This window comes from Homo sapiens, chromosome 1 (assembly GCF_000001405.40).
Source record: "Homo sapiens chromosome 1, GRCh38.p14 Primary Assembly".
NCBI classification, from domain to species: Eukaryota; Metazoa; Chordata; class Mammalia; order Primates; family Hominidae; genus Homo; species Homo sapiens.
The window spans coordinates 11,834,096-11,849,682 of record NC_000001.11 but is presented as its reverse complement, the minus strand read 5'-3'; the positions used below and the strand labels follow the sequence as shown (position 1 = coordinate 11,849,682).

Genomic DNA, 15,587 nt, shown 5'->3' with positions numbered 1-15,587 from the left:
CTACGTGAAATAGGCTAGGATACAGACATCAGCGTCAGACCTGGGGATCCAGTCCTGGTTCCGCCACTTAGGCACCTAGTGGCCTTGGGCAAGTGGCATAGCCTCTCGGGCTCAGTTCTGTTCCCTTGTAAGCAAGGACAATGCTATCTACCACCTGGGGATGGTGATCAAAATAAAATCATTTCCATAAAGTTCTCAGCACAGTGCTAGGCATGCTACAAGCAACCAATAAAGACAACTATGATGGCCATCTTGCAGGGACTCAGCACTGCACACTTGTTATGTGTTGACACGTTCTCAGCTCACTTGGGCTCCACAACAATCCTGCAAGGTAGGCAGGGAAGATTTCTACTTTATTCATTCATTTATTTATTTATTTTTTGAGACCGAGTCCCACTCTGTTGCCCAGGCTAGAGTGCAGTGGTGCGATCTTGGTTCACTACAACCTCCGCCTCCCAAGGTCAAGCAATTCTTTTACCTCAGCCTCCCTAGTAGCGGGGATTACAGGCACATGCCACCACACCCAGCTAATTTTTATATTTTTAGTAGAGACAGAGTTTTGCCATGTTGGTAGGGCTGGTCTCAAACTCCTGGCCTCAGGTGATCCACCCACCTTAGCCTCCCAAAGTGCTGGGATTATACGTGTGAGCCACTGCACCCGGCCGGTTTTTAACATTCTTTCTCATTTTACACACAAGGAAAGTAAGGCTGCGAAGAGGTATGCAACTGGTTTGTTTTGGGCTACAGTACTGGTCTCTCAGCCCTTCAAATTTAGAGTTTTCCCCCAGTATACGTTGCATTGAATGGTAATGGCTAACACTGAGTTCAGTGCTTAGCAAACAGGCCATTCATTAAACATAGACAGACTTGCTGCCTGTTATTTCCCTTTTGGGGGCCAGGGAAATTGTGACCTTGGTGGCTCGGTCACTTGCCACTTGCCACGTCCTCAGGGAAGGATGTAGAAGGCATTGAGGGAAACTGACTATACCTCCTTCACCCCCACCTCCCTTCCTCCATCGGTCAAGTTGCCACGGGCACAAGCCCAGGAAGGGCAGGGGGATGTTAACAAACTTCAGACACGAAGAGTCTGAGCATCTATAAACAGCAACGGAAGAAATGAAATTGGCTGCGTCCTCTAAGCCTGTCCCCGCAGCATGCTGGAGGAGGGTCGCGGGGGACATGGAAGAGGAGGAGCTTTGGAGAGAGGATGCTTGTGCTCCCCCGCCTTTTCTTGCTATTTCTATTTGGGGGTTGGATTCCTGGGAGCTTCATCACATTTGGTTCTCAGCTGACTTTATATACTAAAAAATAACTTCCTTTCGCCTGACCATGGAGAGGGACTGCCAGGGGTGAAGGCAGCCCTGTCTGAGGCCAGAGGTCTGCCCACGTGGCGGATGAGGCAGGTGTGAGGCCAGCTTGAGCATCTGGATCCATTTGTCTCGGGCTGCTGGCTGCCTGCCATTTCCTCCTCTCCACCCTTATTTGGAGGCCCTGACAGCTGAGCCACAAACAAACCAGGGGAGCTGGGCACCAGCCAAGCGTCACCCTCTGTTTCCCCGCACGGGTACCAGCGTCGAGGAGAAAGAATCCTGAGGCACGGCGGTGAGATAACCAAGGACTCTTTTTTACTCTTCTCACACCTTTGAAGTGGGAGCCTCTTGAGTCAAATCAGTAAGAATGCGGCTCTTGCAGCTGAGGGTCTGGGGGGCTGTTGGGGCTGCCCAAGGCAGAGAGGGGCTGTGACAAGCCCTGCGGGATGATAACTTTAAAAGGGCATCTCCTGCTGGCTTCTCACTTGGCAGCTTTATCACTGCAAGTGACAGAATGGGGAGGGTTCTGTCTCTCCTGCGTGCTTGGAGAGCTGGGGGGCTATAAAAAGAGGCGGCACTGGGCAGCTGGGAGACAGGGACAGACGTAGGCCAAGAGAGGGGAACCAGAGAGGAACCAGAGGGGAGAGACAGAGCAGCAAGCAGTGGATTGCTCCTTGACGACGCCAGCATGAGCTCCTTCTCCACCACCACCGTGAGCTTCCTCCTTTTACTGGCATTCCAGCTCCTAGGTCAGACCAGAGCTAATCCCATGTACAATGCCGTGTCCAACGCAGACCTGATGGATTTCAAGGTAGGGCCAGGAAAGCGGGTGCAGTCTGGGGCCAGGGGGCTTTCTGATGCTGTGCTCACTCCTCTTGATTTCCTCCAAGTCAGTGAGGTTTATCCCTTTCCCTGTATTTTCCTTTTCTAAAGAATTTGCTGGACCATTTGGAAGAAAAGATGCCTTTAGAAGATGAGGTCGTGCCCCCACAAGTGCTCAGTGAGCCGAATGAAGAAGCGGGGGCTGCTCTCAGCCCCCTCCCTGAGGTGCCTCCCTGGACCGGGGAAGTCAGCCCAGCCCAGAGAGATGGAGGTGCCCTCGGGCGGGGCCCCTGGGACTCCTCTGATCGATCTGCCCTCCTAAAAAGCAAGCTGAGGGCGCTGCTCACTGCCCCTCGGAGCCTGCGGAGATCCAGCTGCTTCGGGGGCAGGATGGACAGGATTGGAGCCCAGAGCGGACTGGGCTGTAACAGCTTCCGGGTAAGAGGAACTGGGGATGGAAATGGGATGGGATGGACACTACTGGGAGACACCTTCAGCAGGAAAGGGACCAATGCAGAAGCTCATTCCCTCTCAAGTTTCTGCCCCAACACCCAGAGTGCCCCATGGGTGTCAGGACATGCCATCTATTGTCCTTAGCTAGTCTGCTGAGAAAATGCTTAAAAAAAAAAGGGGGGGGGGCTGGGCACAGTGGCTCACGCCTGTAATCCCAGCACTTTGGGAGGCCGAGGCAGGCGGATCATGAGGTCAAGAGATCAAGACTATCCTGGCCAACATGGTGAAACCCCAGCTCTACTAAAAATACAAAAATTAGCTGGGTGTGGTGGCGGGCACCTGTACTCTCAGCTACTTGGGAGGCTGAGGCAGGAGAATCACTTGAACCCAGGAGGCAGAGGTTGCAGTGAGCAGAGATCACGCCACTGCAGTCCAGCCTAGGTGATAGAGCGAGACTGTCTCAAAAAAAAAAAAAAAAGGCCAGGCACGGTGGCTCACGCCTGTAATCCCAGCGCTTTGGGAGGCCAAGGCGGGTGGATCACGAGGTCAGGAGATGGAGACCATCCTGGCTAACACGGTGAAACCCCGTCTCTACTAAAAATACAAAAAATTAGCCAGGCGTGGTGGCAGGCGCCTGTAAGTCCTAGCTACTCCGGAGGCTGAGGCAGGAGAATGGCGTGAACCCGGGAGGCGGAGCTTGCAGTGAGCAGAGATGGCACCACTGCACTCCAGCCTGGGCGACAGAGCAAGACTCCGTCTCAAAAAAAAAAAAAAAAAAAGCAACTGCCACTAGCACTGGGAAATTAAAATATTCATAGAGCCAAGTTATCTTTGCATGGCTGATTAGCAGTTCATATTCCTCCCCAGAATTGCAAGATCCTGAAGGGCTTAAGTGAAATTTACTCTGATGAGTAACTTGCTTATCAATTCATGAAGCTCAGAGGGTCATCAGGCTGGGGTGGGGGCCGGTGGGAAGCAGGTGGTCAGTAATCAAGTTCAGAGGATGGGCACACTCATACATGAAGCTGACTTTTCCAGGACAGCCAGGTCACCAAGCCAGATATGTCTGTGTTCTCTTTGCAGTACTGAAGATAACAGCCAGGGAGGACAAGCAGGGCTGGGCCTAGGGACAGACTGCAAGAGGCTCCTGTCCCCTGGGGTCTCTGCTGCATTTGTGTCATCTTGTTGCCATGGAGTTGTGATCATCCCATCTAAGCTGCAGCTTCCTGTCAACACTTCTCACATCTTATGCTAACTGTAGATAAAGTGGTTTGATGGTGACTTCCTCGCCTCTCCCACCCCATGCATTAAATTTTAAGGTAGAACCTCACCTGTTACTGAAAGTGGTTTGAAAGTGAATAAACTTCAGCACCATGGACAGAAGACAAATGCCTGCGTTGGTGTGCTTTCTTTCTTCTTGGGAAGAGAATTCAGGCCGATATTCCTTGTCGTTTTACTCTTTGTCAGAGGAAAGAATGCTGAGTTTTTCTTCTTCCTTTCATTTCACCCTCCTTTTTTGGTAGGTGGTTGGGGAGGCCTCAAATTCCACTCCTAGTGGGGTTTTTGTTGTTTTTAGGGGGGAACATTCAGAAAATGAGAGTATTAATTAGATTTTCTCTGGTACATTTCGAGAGAGTTAGGTTCTACAGCTAAGGTAATGGTACTTTTAGTTTTGAAAAGAGTAGGCAGAGTGTTGAATTTAAAAGCTGAGCAGGCCGGGTGTGGTGGCTCACTCCTGTAATCCCAGCATTTTGGGAGGCCAAGGTGGGCAAATCACTTGAGCCCAGGAGTTCAAGACCAGCCTGAGCAATAGAGTGAGACCCCATCTCTACAAAAAATTTAAAAATTAGCCAGGCATGATGATGTGCACCTGTAGTTCCAGCTATTCAGGAGGCCGAAGTGGGAGGATGGCTTGAGCCTGGGAGGTGGAGGCTGCAGTGAGCTGGTATTGTGCCACTGCATTCCAGCCTGGGTGACAGAATGAGACTTGTCTCAAAAAAATAAAAACTGAGCAAAGTGAAGAAAGGTTTGCCATGCAGACAAACTACAAGTTCATGTGCCTTTTGTGTACTAACAAGTATTTGGAAAACAGACATAGTCTTTGCCTAATCCGGGTCTGAAGGGCCTGGGCTTGTATTTTACTAAGAGCTGCTGGAGAAGATGCCGGCTTTTTGTATCTGCTCCTGAAGAGGGTATTTGCTCTGAGCACAAAACACCAGGCAATAAGTTCACCTTAAACAGAGTAAACTGTTTTCCCACCTGTTACCCCCATGGATCCCAACCTCATCAGATTCTATGACACTCCAACACCCCACACCCACACATGCCACTGTGCCTTTATTTCTGCTGTTCCTTCCACCTGGGGTGTCCTTCCTCTGGTCCTCCCGAGGACATTGTACTGATTTCTTAAGGCTCATATGAACACTACTTCTTTCCTGGTACCTCATGCCTAGTAACAATGAGTCCCTTCGTAGGCAGTGTTGCACATGTAACTGTTATAATAGCACACAACACGAGTTGCCTATGTGCAATTGCTTGTGTCTACGTCCCTAGACTGCAAGCTCTTTGAGGGCAAATGCCCCTTCAGCACTCTCAGAGTTGATGCCCCATAAATGTTGGTCAAATTGCCTTGGTCTTGTCCAGAAATTGGGAAAAGAGGAAATGAAGTAGTAACTTGCTCCTTGCGGAGGAAAGGGGGAGGCTCCCAGTGAACTAATGGCAGGGGGTTGAGGTGGGGGGAGAGCCTCACCTAACCACCTCCAGTCAAAATCTTCTCTACCTGGACTTTAAATACCAGGAAAACCAGGGGGTAGAGAATGACAAGGATGAAAGTAAGAGCGACAGGAGACAGCACTGGCCCAAACCTGGCTCCTGAGGTCTGGGATGGTGTTGCGGGTTGCTAGGAGGGGAAGTAGCCCATTCTCAAGGTGTCACCGTAACACAGGTAACACAGGGAGTTCTCATTGAATGAAACTGATTGAAAAATGACAAAAACACAAGGCAGAAAATGCCCCTGGGACTTACAGAACACTTGGGGATGGATGCAGGAGCTGAACTGGCTGCGACCACTGATGGAACAGCCACTTCTGTCACTGATGGAATGATGATTTGAAGCAGATCAGAGACAGAGGCCGCTCTTCTTGCAAAACCAAAAGCAAGCGAACAAAAAGCAATGGCCGATGGCAACAACAGAAGCTGGCCACGGGTCTTCACCTCTCCAGACCCAGCAGCAGTTTCACTTCTTCTGGTTGGACATCGGGGCAATCTGTGTGTGGGGCAACTTCCTAAACACCAGGAAGAAACAGAATGGATTCCCCATCCGCTGCTCCTCCAGGACGCGGCTGCTAGCAGGAGGAGATGAATTCTAGAGGAGAGGATCAGGAAGAGTGTTCATCTGAAGGGAGAAACAGACAACGGTGACCTCTGCTAAGATCCACAGGATGAAATCTGTTCTTATTAAGGTCACTGTCTAATACAGAGAAGTGGACCCGCAAGAATGAAGAGCCCCACTGCCCAGCTGCATAGGGAGAGCTCTGAGACTCTAAAACTACGTCCTAGTGTAATTTCCACACATCAGAAAGAGGGGGAGTAAAATAAAAAGCAAGTATCCCTTGAAAGAAAGAGCAGCAGGGCCGGGCGTGGTGGCTCACGCCTGTAATCCCAGCACTTTGGGAGGCCGAGGCGGGTAGGATCACCAGGTCAGGAGATTGAGACCATCCTGGCTAACATGGTGAAACCCCATCTCTACCAAAAATACAAAAAATTAGCCAGGCATGGTGGTGGGCGCCTGTAGTCCCAGCCACTCGGGAGGCTGAGGCAGGAGAATGGCGTGAACCTGGGAGGCGGAGCTTGCAGTGAGCTGAGATGGCACCACTGCACTCCAGCCTGGGTGACAGCGAGACTCTGTCTCAAAAAAAGAAAGAAAGAAAGAAAGCAGCATGGAGACAAAAGGCTAAAGGAGACAGAGGAGACAGAAGACATTTTATTCTCACATGTTAGGGTTACAATGAGAACTCCCAAGTTCCAAAGGTTCAAATAAAAATAGCATTTTACAAATTAAAAAAAATACAATTTATATACACAGTGGAATTAGCTAACATCATACAAACAAACAGTGCAAACAGAAAAAAGGAAGCTGCGACTGCGGCAATGGCCAAGGTCCGCAGAGCTGTGGTGCAATACTGCACATCAATACTGCAGGGCTGGCGAGGCCACCTTGGGCCTCTCGAAAGGCTTTCCTGTCACCCAGGGTCATGTCAGTGCATAATTCTGCATCACAAATGCCATACAGTGGACTGGGTCCTGAAAGTGTCCCTTCCAGCTGGGAACTGTTAAGTTAATCAAGGTCAGGAGCAAATCATCCCTCAGCACAAGGTCCCAAAGCCAGGGCCGGGGGCCCATTGGCCCCACTCCCTGATCACCTCGCCTAGGGGCCATGGAACACCAAGCTGGAGATGAAACACAAAACACCACTTCTTACCACCCGTAGGCTCCCCATCCACAGATCTGCTTTACTGAGGCGACTGATCACTGGGTGATGGGGCTGCTAATGGGTGAGATGCTGAAAAGGCTGGTTTCTAATGGACAGAAATGGAAGGAGCGAGGGTCACAGTTGATTTGTCATGAGTGGAGAAGTTGCTGTCTTTGGGCTTATCTGGAAAGCGCAGATGCAGAGAGAGGAGAAAAGGAAACCACGTGCCTTTGCATGGGGCCTGGGTTTGGGGCCTCCTTGGCAGCCGTCCAGTCAGTTTAGGGGAGGGAGGTATTTGCATTCTACTGTCTATCTCTGGGCTAAACTGATGGGAACAAAATATCTGGTGACTTAAACACAACAGGATGTGCACGAGGGATGAATTCCAATAACATTCACCGGGGCAGCCTCAGGGCAGGCGGCTGCTGATCCAGCCCTCGAGAGGCCGGGGTCCTCCTGCAGGGCGTTAGCTCTGCCAGCTCCAGGAAGGGGCGGGGAGAGGGGACAAAGTGTCTGTGACAGGTGATCACACCATTCTCCTGACTTGGACAATTGGCTTCCTTCTTAATAAAAGGAAGAAATAACGTGATCAAGCTCTGAACACTGCCATAAAACACAGCAGCAGCTGGCCAAATAGTAACATTTAAATAAGAATTGCCTTTTTGGTCCTTGTGATGTCCTGCGCTATTTCCTGGGAGTATTATCCCCATTTCATAAGTCAGGTGCATTCTGGGAAGCAGAAACATTTAGAAGTCAAAGCAATTTTGGTCAGGGAGATAAGAAAATGGGGAAAATGGAGGGGCCACAATCAGCTAGAAAAGACCTTGAAGCAGCCCCATCTCTGGAGTGGAATTATTCCCTAGAGTGTGCTGAGCGCAAGATCTGGACCAGCAGAGCCAGGACTGATGCTCACCCCAGGGTGAAAGGCAGACTTGGCCAAGGAGGTCGCCCAGGGCTGGGCCTGAGAGCTGTGCTGCCAGGGCCAGGTGCCGAGGCCCGTGGGCAACCTCCACGGTTTTAAAAAAAACTAAACGTAAATGAAGGCCATCTTGAGCCAAAGCACGTCTGCCCCAGGGATGCCTGCTGGGACTAATACCATGTAGAAGGTGGGGGAAGATAAGCATGAATGCCCAATGCCCAGATGCTCACTTTGGGTGCCTAGTCAGAGGGGGCGGGCCAGCCTGGAGAAGAATGACGTCACTGAACGACAGGGTGCGCTTCCCATGCTTCATGTGAAACCTTCAGGCACGTGCTGGCAGGAAGCATCTTCCCCACGCACCCTCCCTGCGGCACAGGAGGCCCTCCTGAAGGGCCTCTGTATGTAAGCTTGGGACAGCTAGTGCAGGGGAGAGAGAGGTGTTTGTGAAGGGCAGACACCCTCTTCCTCAAATAGGCCATCTGCTTTATCATAGCACATACCTTTCAGTGGTCACTGGCTCAGAAGTGCTTCCTTTCTACTTTGGAAAAAAAATGGTAGCATTCCCCAGAGTTGAGTGAAGCTGCTTTATCCAGGAGTGCCCTGCTTTCAGCTAACTTTGGTGGGTGATGCCAAGATCCTCTGAGCTCTGCCTGCTTCATCAGGAAGACGGAGATCAAAACTTAAGGAAATGAAAAAGGATCTGGGTAGAAACGTGTTACTGGGAGACTGGGAATAATCTGCAGATGGAGAGAAAGCTGCAATGTTAAGAATTAGGGTAGACGTAAATCTGATCCTATTATCAGATTGACCATCCAGGGGTTATTAGTGTGATTTTAATCCTTTATGTTTCTGGTGGGCGGTGGTTCTAAGGAGAGTCAAACCACAGGGCAAGACCAGAGCCTCTGCTCACACCCAGGAGCAGAGTGTTTCCCTTAAAACCAACTAGCGAGGATACCGTGTTAAGAGTCCCAAATAAGGGAAGGACTCTCTGAAATATTGAGAATTTTCTCAGTGCCCAATTCCTAAACCTAGTCATGAACTGTATGTTGTCACTGGCATCTCCCCAGCTTTTGCCTTGGCCAAGTCCCTCTCACACATTTAAGGCAACAGCCGGGTTCTCTAGGAAAGTAGCAAAGATGGCCAGGAACACTGCTCGGAGTGCAGCCCGGGGCCCGCCTGATTCTACCTCTGCTTCTGGCTCTGGTGGAGCCAGGGGTGGGCCTGTGCCAACACTGGAGGGTGGGAACACAGGGAGCAGGAAGTGGGAAGATCCTTGCTGGGGAAGTCAGAAAAGTCCAAGCTCTGATGGTTCAAAACCACCCCCAGGACCTCTGACCAGCAAGGTGTCCGATGACTCCCGGCTTTCTGAGTGAGTGGGTGACTGGGAATCTTCCATGCCCCGGAACAGCCCCAGCCAGCTGTGCCCGCCGGAGTGAGCATGATTTGCCTCCCCAGGCAGCACCAGGAGAGGGTGGGCTGGGCTGTCAGATGGTCTGGTAGTGCTGCCTCAGCCGGGCCTGCAGAAATTCATAGGTGAGGTTGTGCCGTGTGATGATCCCCACGATCTAGGGCAAAGAGAAGGCCTGAGTCACCTTCAGGGTAAAACCCGCTGGCGAGAACAGGAGTGACAGGAGCCGGCCCTGTTAGTTTGTCACAGAATGTGGAGGCCTGGATAGTGCACAGCCAGACACAGCTTGATTGGGATAAACAGCTAACGAGGGCTCACACACTGGAGGCCAAGGGGACAAGGTTAGCTCCAAAAAGGGCTTGGGCCAGCTGGCATCTGAACTAAAATGTCCTTCCACAGGGCACATGCTCAGCGCTCAGCTCCCATCATGACCAGCCTGCTTCACAGATGTGCAAGCGGTGGGGCCCTTGAAGTCTCCTGAGATTATGACCCCTGCCATGCCTCATACTCACCACCTTGCAAAGTGACCTATGGGAGTCATTTGTTACAGGTCGTTACAGTGGTTCCCACGTGTCACTGTTGTTGGGAACTCCAAAGCCACGTCATAAACTATGTTAGGACTCTGTCAGTGTAGTTGGCAATTACATTTCAAGGGACATAAGTTAACCTACTGCAACAAAACCTGTGTAAGTACGCACTATGCATGCCAGGGTTGTGCCGCATAGAAGAAAAGACTGAGGCCGGGTGCAGTGGCTGACGCATGTAATCCCAGCACTTTGGGAGGCCGAGGCAGGTGAATCACTTGAGTTCAGGAGTTCAAGACCAGCCTGGGCAACATGGCGAAACCGTGTCTCTACCATAAATACAAAAACTAGCTGGGCATAGTGGCGCATGCCTGTGGTCCCAGCTACTCAGGAGGCTGAGGTGGGAGGACTGCTTGAGCCTGGAAGGTCGAGGCTGCAGTGAGCCGAGATCTTGCCACTGCACTCCAGCCTGGGTGACAGAGTGAGACCCTGTCTCAAAACAACAACAACAGCAACAACAACAAAAGACTGAGAGGGTGGCCTTGAAAAGTTACCAGGGCTACCGCGACAGGGTAGGGACGAGGGTTTGGTTTTTGCTTGTTTTTTGCTCATATGTGTTTTTGTATTTTCCTACAATGAAATCATATTTGTGTAATAAGAAAATATTTGTGTAATAAGAAAATAATGAAGTTCTAAAAAGAAGAAAAAAGGAAAGTCTGCAGCAATAATTACTAGGTGTTTTATATCTTTGTAAAACTCAAAGTATTTTGCTTGAAATTCTCTCATCTAATGCGCAAATCCCTACGCAGGTGGAGAACCAAGGAACACCAGTGGTACGGAGTGAAGAGCAACATTTCAGGAGGAAGACACAGCCTGGTAGAGGCGCGGCTCTGGCTGGAAAGGACGGCCAGTGGGACGCTGGTGCCATCTGCTGGCAGGCAGGGGAAAGGGTCCCGAGTGCACGGAAGCCGAGCAGGGTTCAAAGCTAGTGTTGGGCCACACTCTCCCCTCCTGGTGGGATGCCTACGTTTCTGGTGAGAAGCCTGGGTGCACAAACAGCACCTGGCTAGGGGATCCTCTCTCAAAGGTGGGGGCAGGGCCGGGGCCTCGCTCACCTCTCCCACAGCGTTCACCACGGGCAGGTGGCGCAGGCCCATCGTTCTGAACAGGTTGAAGACTTGGGAGACGTGGGTGTTGGGCGAGACGGTGAAAGGCGAAGGGTTCATGTATGGGGTGACATCCTGCAAAGAGACCACGTGTCACTGACTGCCTGAGACGCCAACGGCATGAAGAGGCAGCTCCGCATGGGACAGGCCGGGGCAGCCCTTCTCACCACGATCATGCGCGGGTTGAGCAGCGTCAGGTCCAGGTCGTGGATGTCGGGGTACCGCGGGTAGTCCTCGGCCATCTCGGCATAGGAGAGGCGCGGCTGGCTGGCGCTCTGCAATTCCAACCCAGACACTGTCCGTGCTCAGGCAGCAGTGGCCAGCAGGGTCACCTTAGAGCCCCTCCCCTTGATGCCTGAATATGCCCAGCTCCAGGCTGCTGAGGCAGGTGGTGCAGCAGCAGCAAGCGCTCCAGAGTGAGAGCTCTCCAGTCAAACCAAGTCCTTGGCCAAGTCCTAGCTGTGGCACCCTGGGCAAGTCCCCTGATCTGTCTGCACTCCCTTTCTTCCTGATTCATGAGATGCAAATGGCTTATTAGGAAGTTTAAGTGAGAAAGCACTAAGTAAAGTGGCTGGGGGGTGAATGTGTCCCCCCACCAAAAGATATGGCCAAGTCCTAAGCCCTAGTACCTATGAATGCGACCTTTCTGGAAACAAGGTCTCTACAGATGTGACCGAGTTCAGATGAACCCATGCTGGATTAGGGCGGGCCCCAAATCCGGTGACAAGCGTCCTTAGGGAAAGGAGAGAAGATACACAGGAGAACGCCGTGTGATGACAGTGGCGAGGATGGGGGCTGTGTTCACAGTCAGGAGCACCAAGGTCTGCAGGCAACTCCCATGAGCTAGGAAGGGGCAAGGACAGCACCAGAGCCAGGGAGCGCTGCCCTGGTGACACCCGGATTTTGTACTTCTGGCCTTGAACTATGAAGGAATAAACCGCTGTTGCTTCTCACCACCCGGCTGTGGCGACTCCTCCCCTAAGTCCACTCTGCACTTCTCGCCTTGCATTCAGCTTTCCCTATGGCACTGTTCACGGCCCGCCGGCAGCGCCCAACCCCTCGAGCTTCGTCAGGTCTGGCCTGGCTGATTTCTGCCTCGGAGAGACTTACCGACTGGCTTTCAGAGTAACAAACTCCTCGGACAAGCAGGGTGACAAGCTGCGACCGAAGGATCAGGCCGTGGAAGGTCAGAGGGCGGAACCGCTCCTCCATGGTCCAGTCTTCACTTGGGGACTGGTCAGGGTATAGGTTGGGGTAGGGAGTGTATCTGTTACACAAAAACCAGATGCTGCCTGGGATACCCTCAGCGGGAGCGCTTCTGATCCATGTTCCCAGCCCGCTCCCCATCCAACTTTCCCAGGAAACTCAGGAGCCACCTCACAACATCTGAGCCAAAGGCTCACCCCACCGCTGTGTAGCCCTGCGGGCAGTGGGGGCCCCGCCAGGCTCTCACCTCCTTTCCAGCATCTGCTGCAGGAGGTCCTCCTTCTCGGCTGGCTCCTCAGAGGCGATGTGCTCATCACACATGTTCCGTAGCTCGCTGGATGGGTAGGACTTCATGGACTGGCTCCGTTTGCGCTGCTCGCCAGCCCGGGTGAGGATGCTGGATTTCTGTGGGTGGGGAGGCCACAGGCTACTGCGCATGGGCAAACGAACACAGCAGTACTGATGGAGCTTAAGGATTTGGGTGACAGGGAGGGTCAGAAGCACATCCGGACGCAGGAACTTAATGGGGCTGAGGTTCAAAAGAGTGGCTCAGGCTGGTGGTTCAAATGAGCCTGAACCCTAGGACCTGGCTGCAGCTTCTGTGGTTTCCTTTAATCTGGGAAGAGCAGCTTGATTCTCCAGAGGGGAACAAGCCATCTCCTACATCCTGTCTTGATAGAATTTTCAATCAACGTGCCTGCCCCCAAAGCCAAGGAGTGGCACATGACCCAAGTGAGGCAACAGGATACCCCCTCTCCCTGGATTCTGAATCGGAATCAGGAGGAACCCAGGGCCAGTGCTCCTTCCTCCTGGTACCCAAGGGATGTCTGCTAGACCCTGCACTGCTCCCCACAGCACATGGTTCTGGTCCTTCAGCTTTCCCAGCTGTCCTGAGCTTTCCTGTGGATTTCTTTCTCTTTCTTAAGGAGGTCGAAGTCCATTTCTGTTGCTGGCATCTCTAGAACTCTCCCTGATACTCTCACATGGTAAACAAACCATGAAAGCTGCTGACTTGAAAAACAGATCTGTCCACATGCTCATTGCGGCAAGAACGCACACACATCTTCACGGCCTGATAAAGCTGCCCCTGCTGTCAAATCTACTCTCCCTGTCGCATGTGATGAGAACAGTGCCAACTTCCCCTGAGAGCCGGTAAGTCCACCCCAGCCAGGGGTGGGCAAAGCACTAAGCCGTGTGAGACGGGACCGCTTGTCTCTCACCTGCCTTTCCTCTCATGCCGTTTTCTTTACCTTGAACTTGATGTTGTTGCTGATGAGCTGGTTGCCCTTCATGAACTCCTTCTCGTTACCGCGGTTCTCTGTGACCACCGGGAAGGCATGGTGGACCGTGGTGCGCAGGATGCTCACCAGAGACTGGATGCGGGTGTGCGGGTAGACGTAGGTCAGGTTGGGCTCCATGATGTCGCTGGCTCTCAGCCTGGGGGAGGAGGGCAAGTCATCCAGCCTCATGACAGTGCCCGCAGGCCCCTGGGAGCAAGCTGTGCTGGCTCTCCAGCCCTGCTCAGACCACGGGCGGGGTGGGGGGCTCTTCTGAACTGCCCCAGCTCTCCCTCAAACCCGATGCATTCCTTTGTACTTCTATCCCCCGACACATGCTGTTCCCGCACCTGGAATGTCGTACCCTGCTGTACCAGGCTGATGGGCTCGGGCTCATCCCTCAGCTCAACAGCAACATCCCCTCACCAGGAAGCCCTGGCTGCTGGTCCAGGGGCTGGCCACGCCCTCCTCGGTGCCCTGCAGCACGCTCCACATACTACCCCTGAACTGCTAATTCTGCTACAGCATTTACCACAACTGGGTAAATGGGTGGGCTGGGTGCAGCGGCTCACGCATGTAATCCCAGCACTTTGGGAGGCCGAGGCCAGCAGATTGCTTGAGCCCAGGAGTTCAAAACCAGCCTGGGCAACACAGCAAAACCCCATTTCTATAAAAAAAATGTTAAAAATTAGCCAGGTGTGGTGGCACGCGCCTGTGATCCCAGCTACTCAGGAGGCTGAGGTGGAGGATCGCTTGAGCCTGGGAGGCATAGGTTGCAGTGAGCTATAATCATGCCACCCTACTCCAGCCTAGGCGACAGAGTGAGATCCTGTCCCAAAAAAGAAAAACAATAATAATAAAATAAACACAGCACTTGGGTCCCCCTTTAGATCAGGGCACAGCAAACTGTAGCCCACTGATCAAGTCCGTCACGCTTACTGCTTTCCTGCTGCAATGACAGAGTCGAGTAGTCGTGACAGAGACCATACAGCCCGGAAAGTTGAAAATAAACTCCTGTCTGGCCCTCCACAGAAACGGCTTGCTGGCCCCCGTGTTAGCCCGTAAGGGCCTTGCCTGCTATCTAGACACAGGAAGCCCAGGTACCTGTGGATTAGCAGGTGGGTTATGAGGTGATTATGCCCAGAACAATCCCGGCTGGCAGTAGGGCATTCTGGTGGGCACATGTGAAACAGGCTATTCTCACTCCTGGGGCTTGGCATACCCTTAAACATTCAATCACATCACGAACTTGATCCAGAGACCTCACCTCATATCTAACCAGAATGCCATGGGAGTCAAACCACCACGAAGAGGCCCTGCCCACTGCAGTCCCACAGTGCCCGTGTCCCCTGCCCTGCCCCCGCAGCCCCCAGCCCATGGGCTGCTCCACATTCTCACACATGCTCAGGAATGGGTGTGTTGCTTCTTTCAGCCCAAGAAAAGTGAGTTACTGTTTCCTACCCTAATAACAACATTCCTTAGGCCTCAGAGCTTATACATTCTGAAACTAGGACATGAGCAAAATCATGGCCTTACTTGTCCATTTCCACCTCTGTCTCCCATTCCAGAAGCGGCACGCCTCGCAGGCCCACGTGGATATCATAAATGCCCTTATTGAAAAAGTCCCCTGTCCATTTGGCCACCTGAAACACAAAGCAAAGACCTAAAAATAGGTCCTGTGGGGCGGACGTGGCCCTGAGCCTGACAGGGGCCTGGAGGGAGTGTGCTCACCATCAGTGTGACCATGATGGGGAGCCCGTAGGTGATCTCATTGGTGGACTCGATCAGGATGACCGTGAGGCTGATGGTCATGCGGACCACCCCGCCCAAGAAAGCCGCTGCACCAATCAGGGCAAAGGTCCCCGAATAGATGTGGCCCAATCCAATGTAGCTAGTGAAGGAAAACACCGAGAACATGGCTTTGAACCACACTGATAGGCTGTGGGGAGGACCTACAGCTCATACTCTTGTGCCTATGCACATATGTGCATGCATGGGCACAGACACATCAACGCACGCACACGCACACAC

At 52.4% G+C, this 15,587-nt stretch overlaps 2 protein-coding genes and 1 non-coding gene across 5 annotated transcripts in view, besides 2 other annotated features; 1 reads left to right on the top strand and 2 right to left on the bottom strand.

Annotated features, from left to right (window-relative positions):
- Positions 1,074-2,864: an enhancer, noted in NCBI's record as "VISTA enhancer hs2123". NCBI's record gives its function as "enhancer in: heart[3/4]" and the evidence as "EXISTENCE:transgenic organism evidence [ECO:0001131][PMID:17130149]".
- On the top strand, positions 1,900-3,974 carry NPPA (natriuretic peptide A). Its single transcript, NM_006172.4, has 3 exons — positions 1,900-2,121; positions 2,244-2,570; positions 3,669-3,974. Exons 1-3 carry the CDS (start codon positions 1,999-2,001, stop codon positions 3,672-3,674), a joined length of 456 nt encoding a protein of 151 aa, NP_006163.1. The 5' UTR covers positions 1,900-1,998; the 3' UTR covers positions 3,675-3,974.
- On the bottom strand, positions 2,067-9,364 carry NPPA-AS1 (NPPA antisense RNA 1). Its single transcript, NR_037806.1, has 4 exons — positions 8,476-9,364; positions 5,610-5,979; positions 3,917-4,136; positions 2,067-2,249 (listed from the first exon to the last, which is right to left on the bottom strand).
- The window catches only part of CLCN6 (chloride voltage-gated channel 6), a 36,940-nt gene continuing 27,905 nt past the window's right edge, over positions 6,553-15,587 (bottom strand). For all 3 annotated transcript variants that reach the window (NR_046428.2, NM_001286.5, NM_001256959.2), the window contains 8 exons: positions 15,288-15,447; positions 15,093-15,199; positions 13,530-13,716; positions 12,527-12,684; positions 12,184-12,340; positions 11,241-11,348; positions 11,023-11,148; positions 6,553-9,540 (listed from right to left, as the gene is read on the bottom strand). Coding sequence is in view for 2 of the 3 variants with exons in the window: in NM_001286.5 (NP_001277.2) it covers positions 9,460-9,540; positions 11,023-11,148; positions 11,241-11,348; positions 12,184-12,340; positions 12,527-12,684; positions 13,530-13,716; positions 15,093-15,199; positions 15,288-15,447 (1,084 nt within the window). In the remaining variant the exon portion in view is untranslated. The remainder of the gene's footprint in view (positions 9,541-11,022; positions 11,149-11,240; positions 11,349-12,183; positions 12,341-12,526; positions 12,685-13,529; positions 13,717-15,092; positions 15,200-15,287; positions 15,448-15,587) is intronic.
- Positions 10,909-11,098: an enhancer, noted in NCBI's record as "active region_178". NCBI's record gives its function as "activates an Ori minimal core promoter by ATAC-STARR-seq in GM12878 lymphoblastoid cells {active_cell/tissue: GM12878}" and the evidence as "EXISTENCE:reporter gene assay evidence [ECO:0000049][PMID:35858748]".

What these genes read in the sequence shown, in the direction of transcription:
- NPPA (NM_006172.4), top strand. Translation starts at nt 1,999, where the DNA reads ATGAGCTCCTTCTCCACCACCACCGTGAGCTTCCTCCTTTTACTGGCA. An exon ending in CAGACCTGATGGATTTCAAG is followed by an intron (nt 2,122 to 2,243) that starts GTAGGGCCAGGA and finishes CCTTTTCTAAAG; the next exon opens with AATTTGCTGGACCATTTGGA.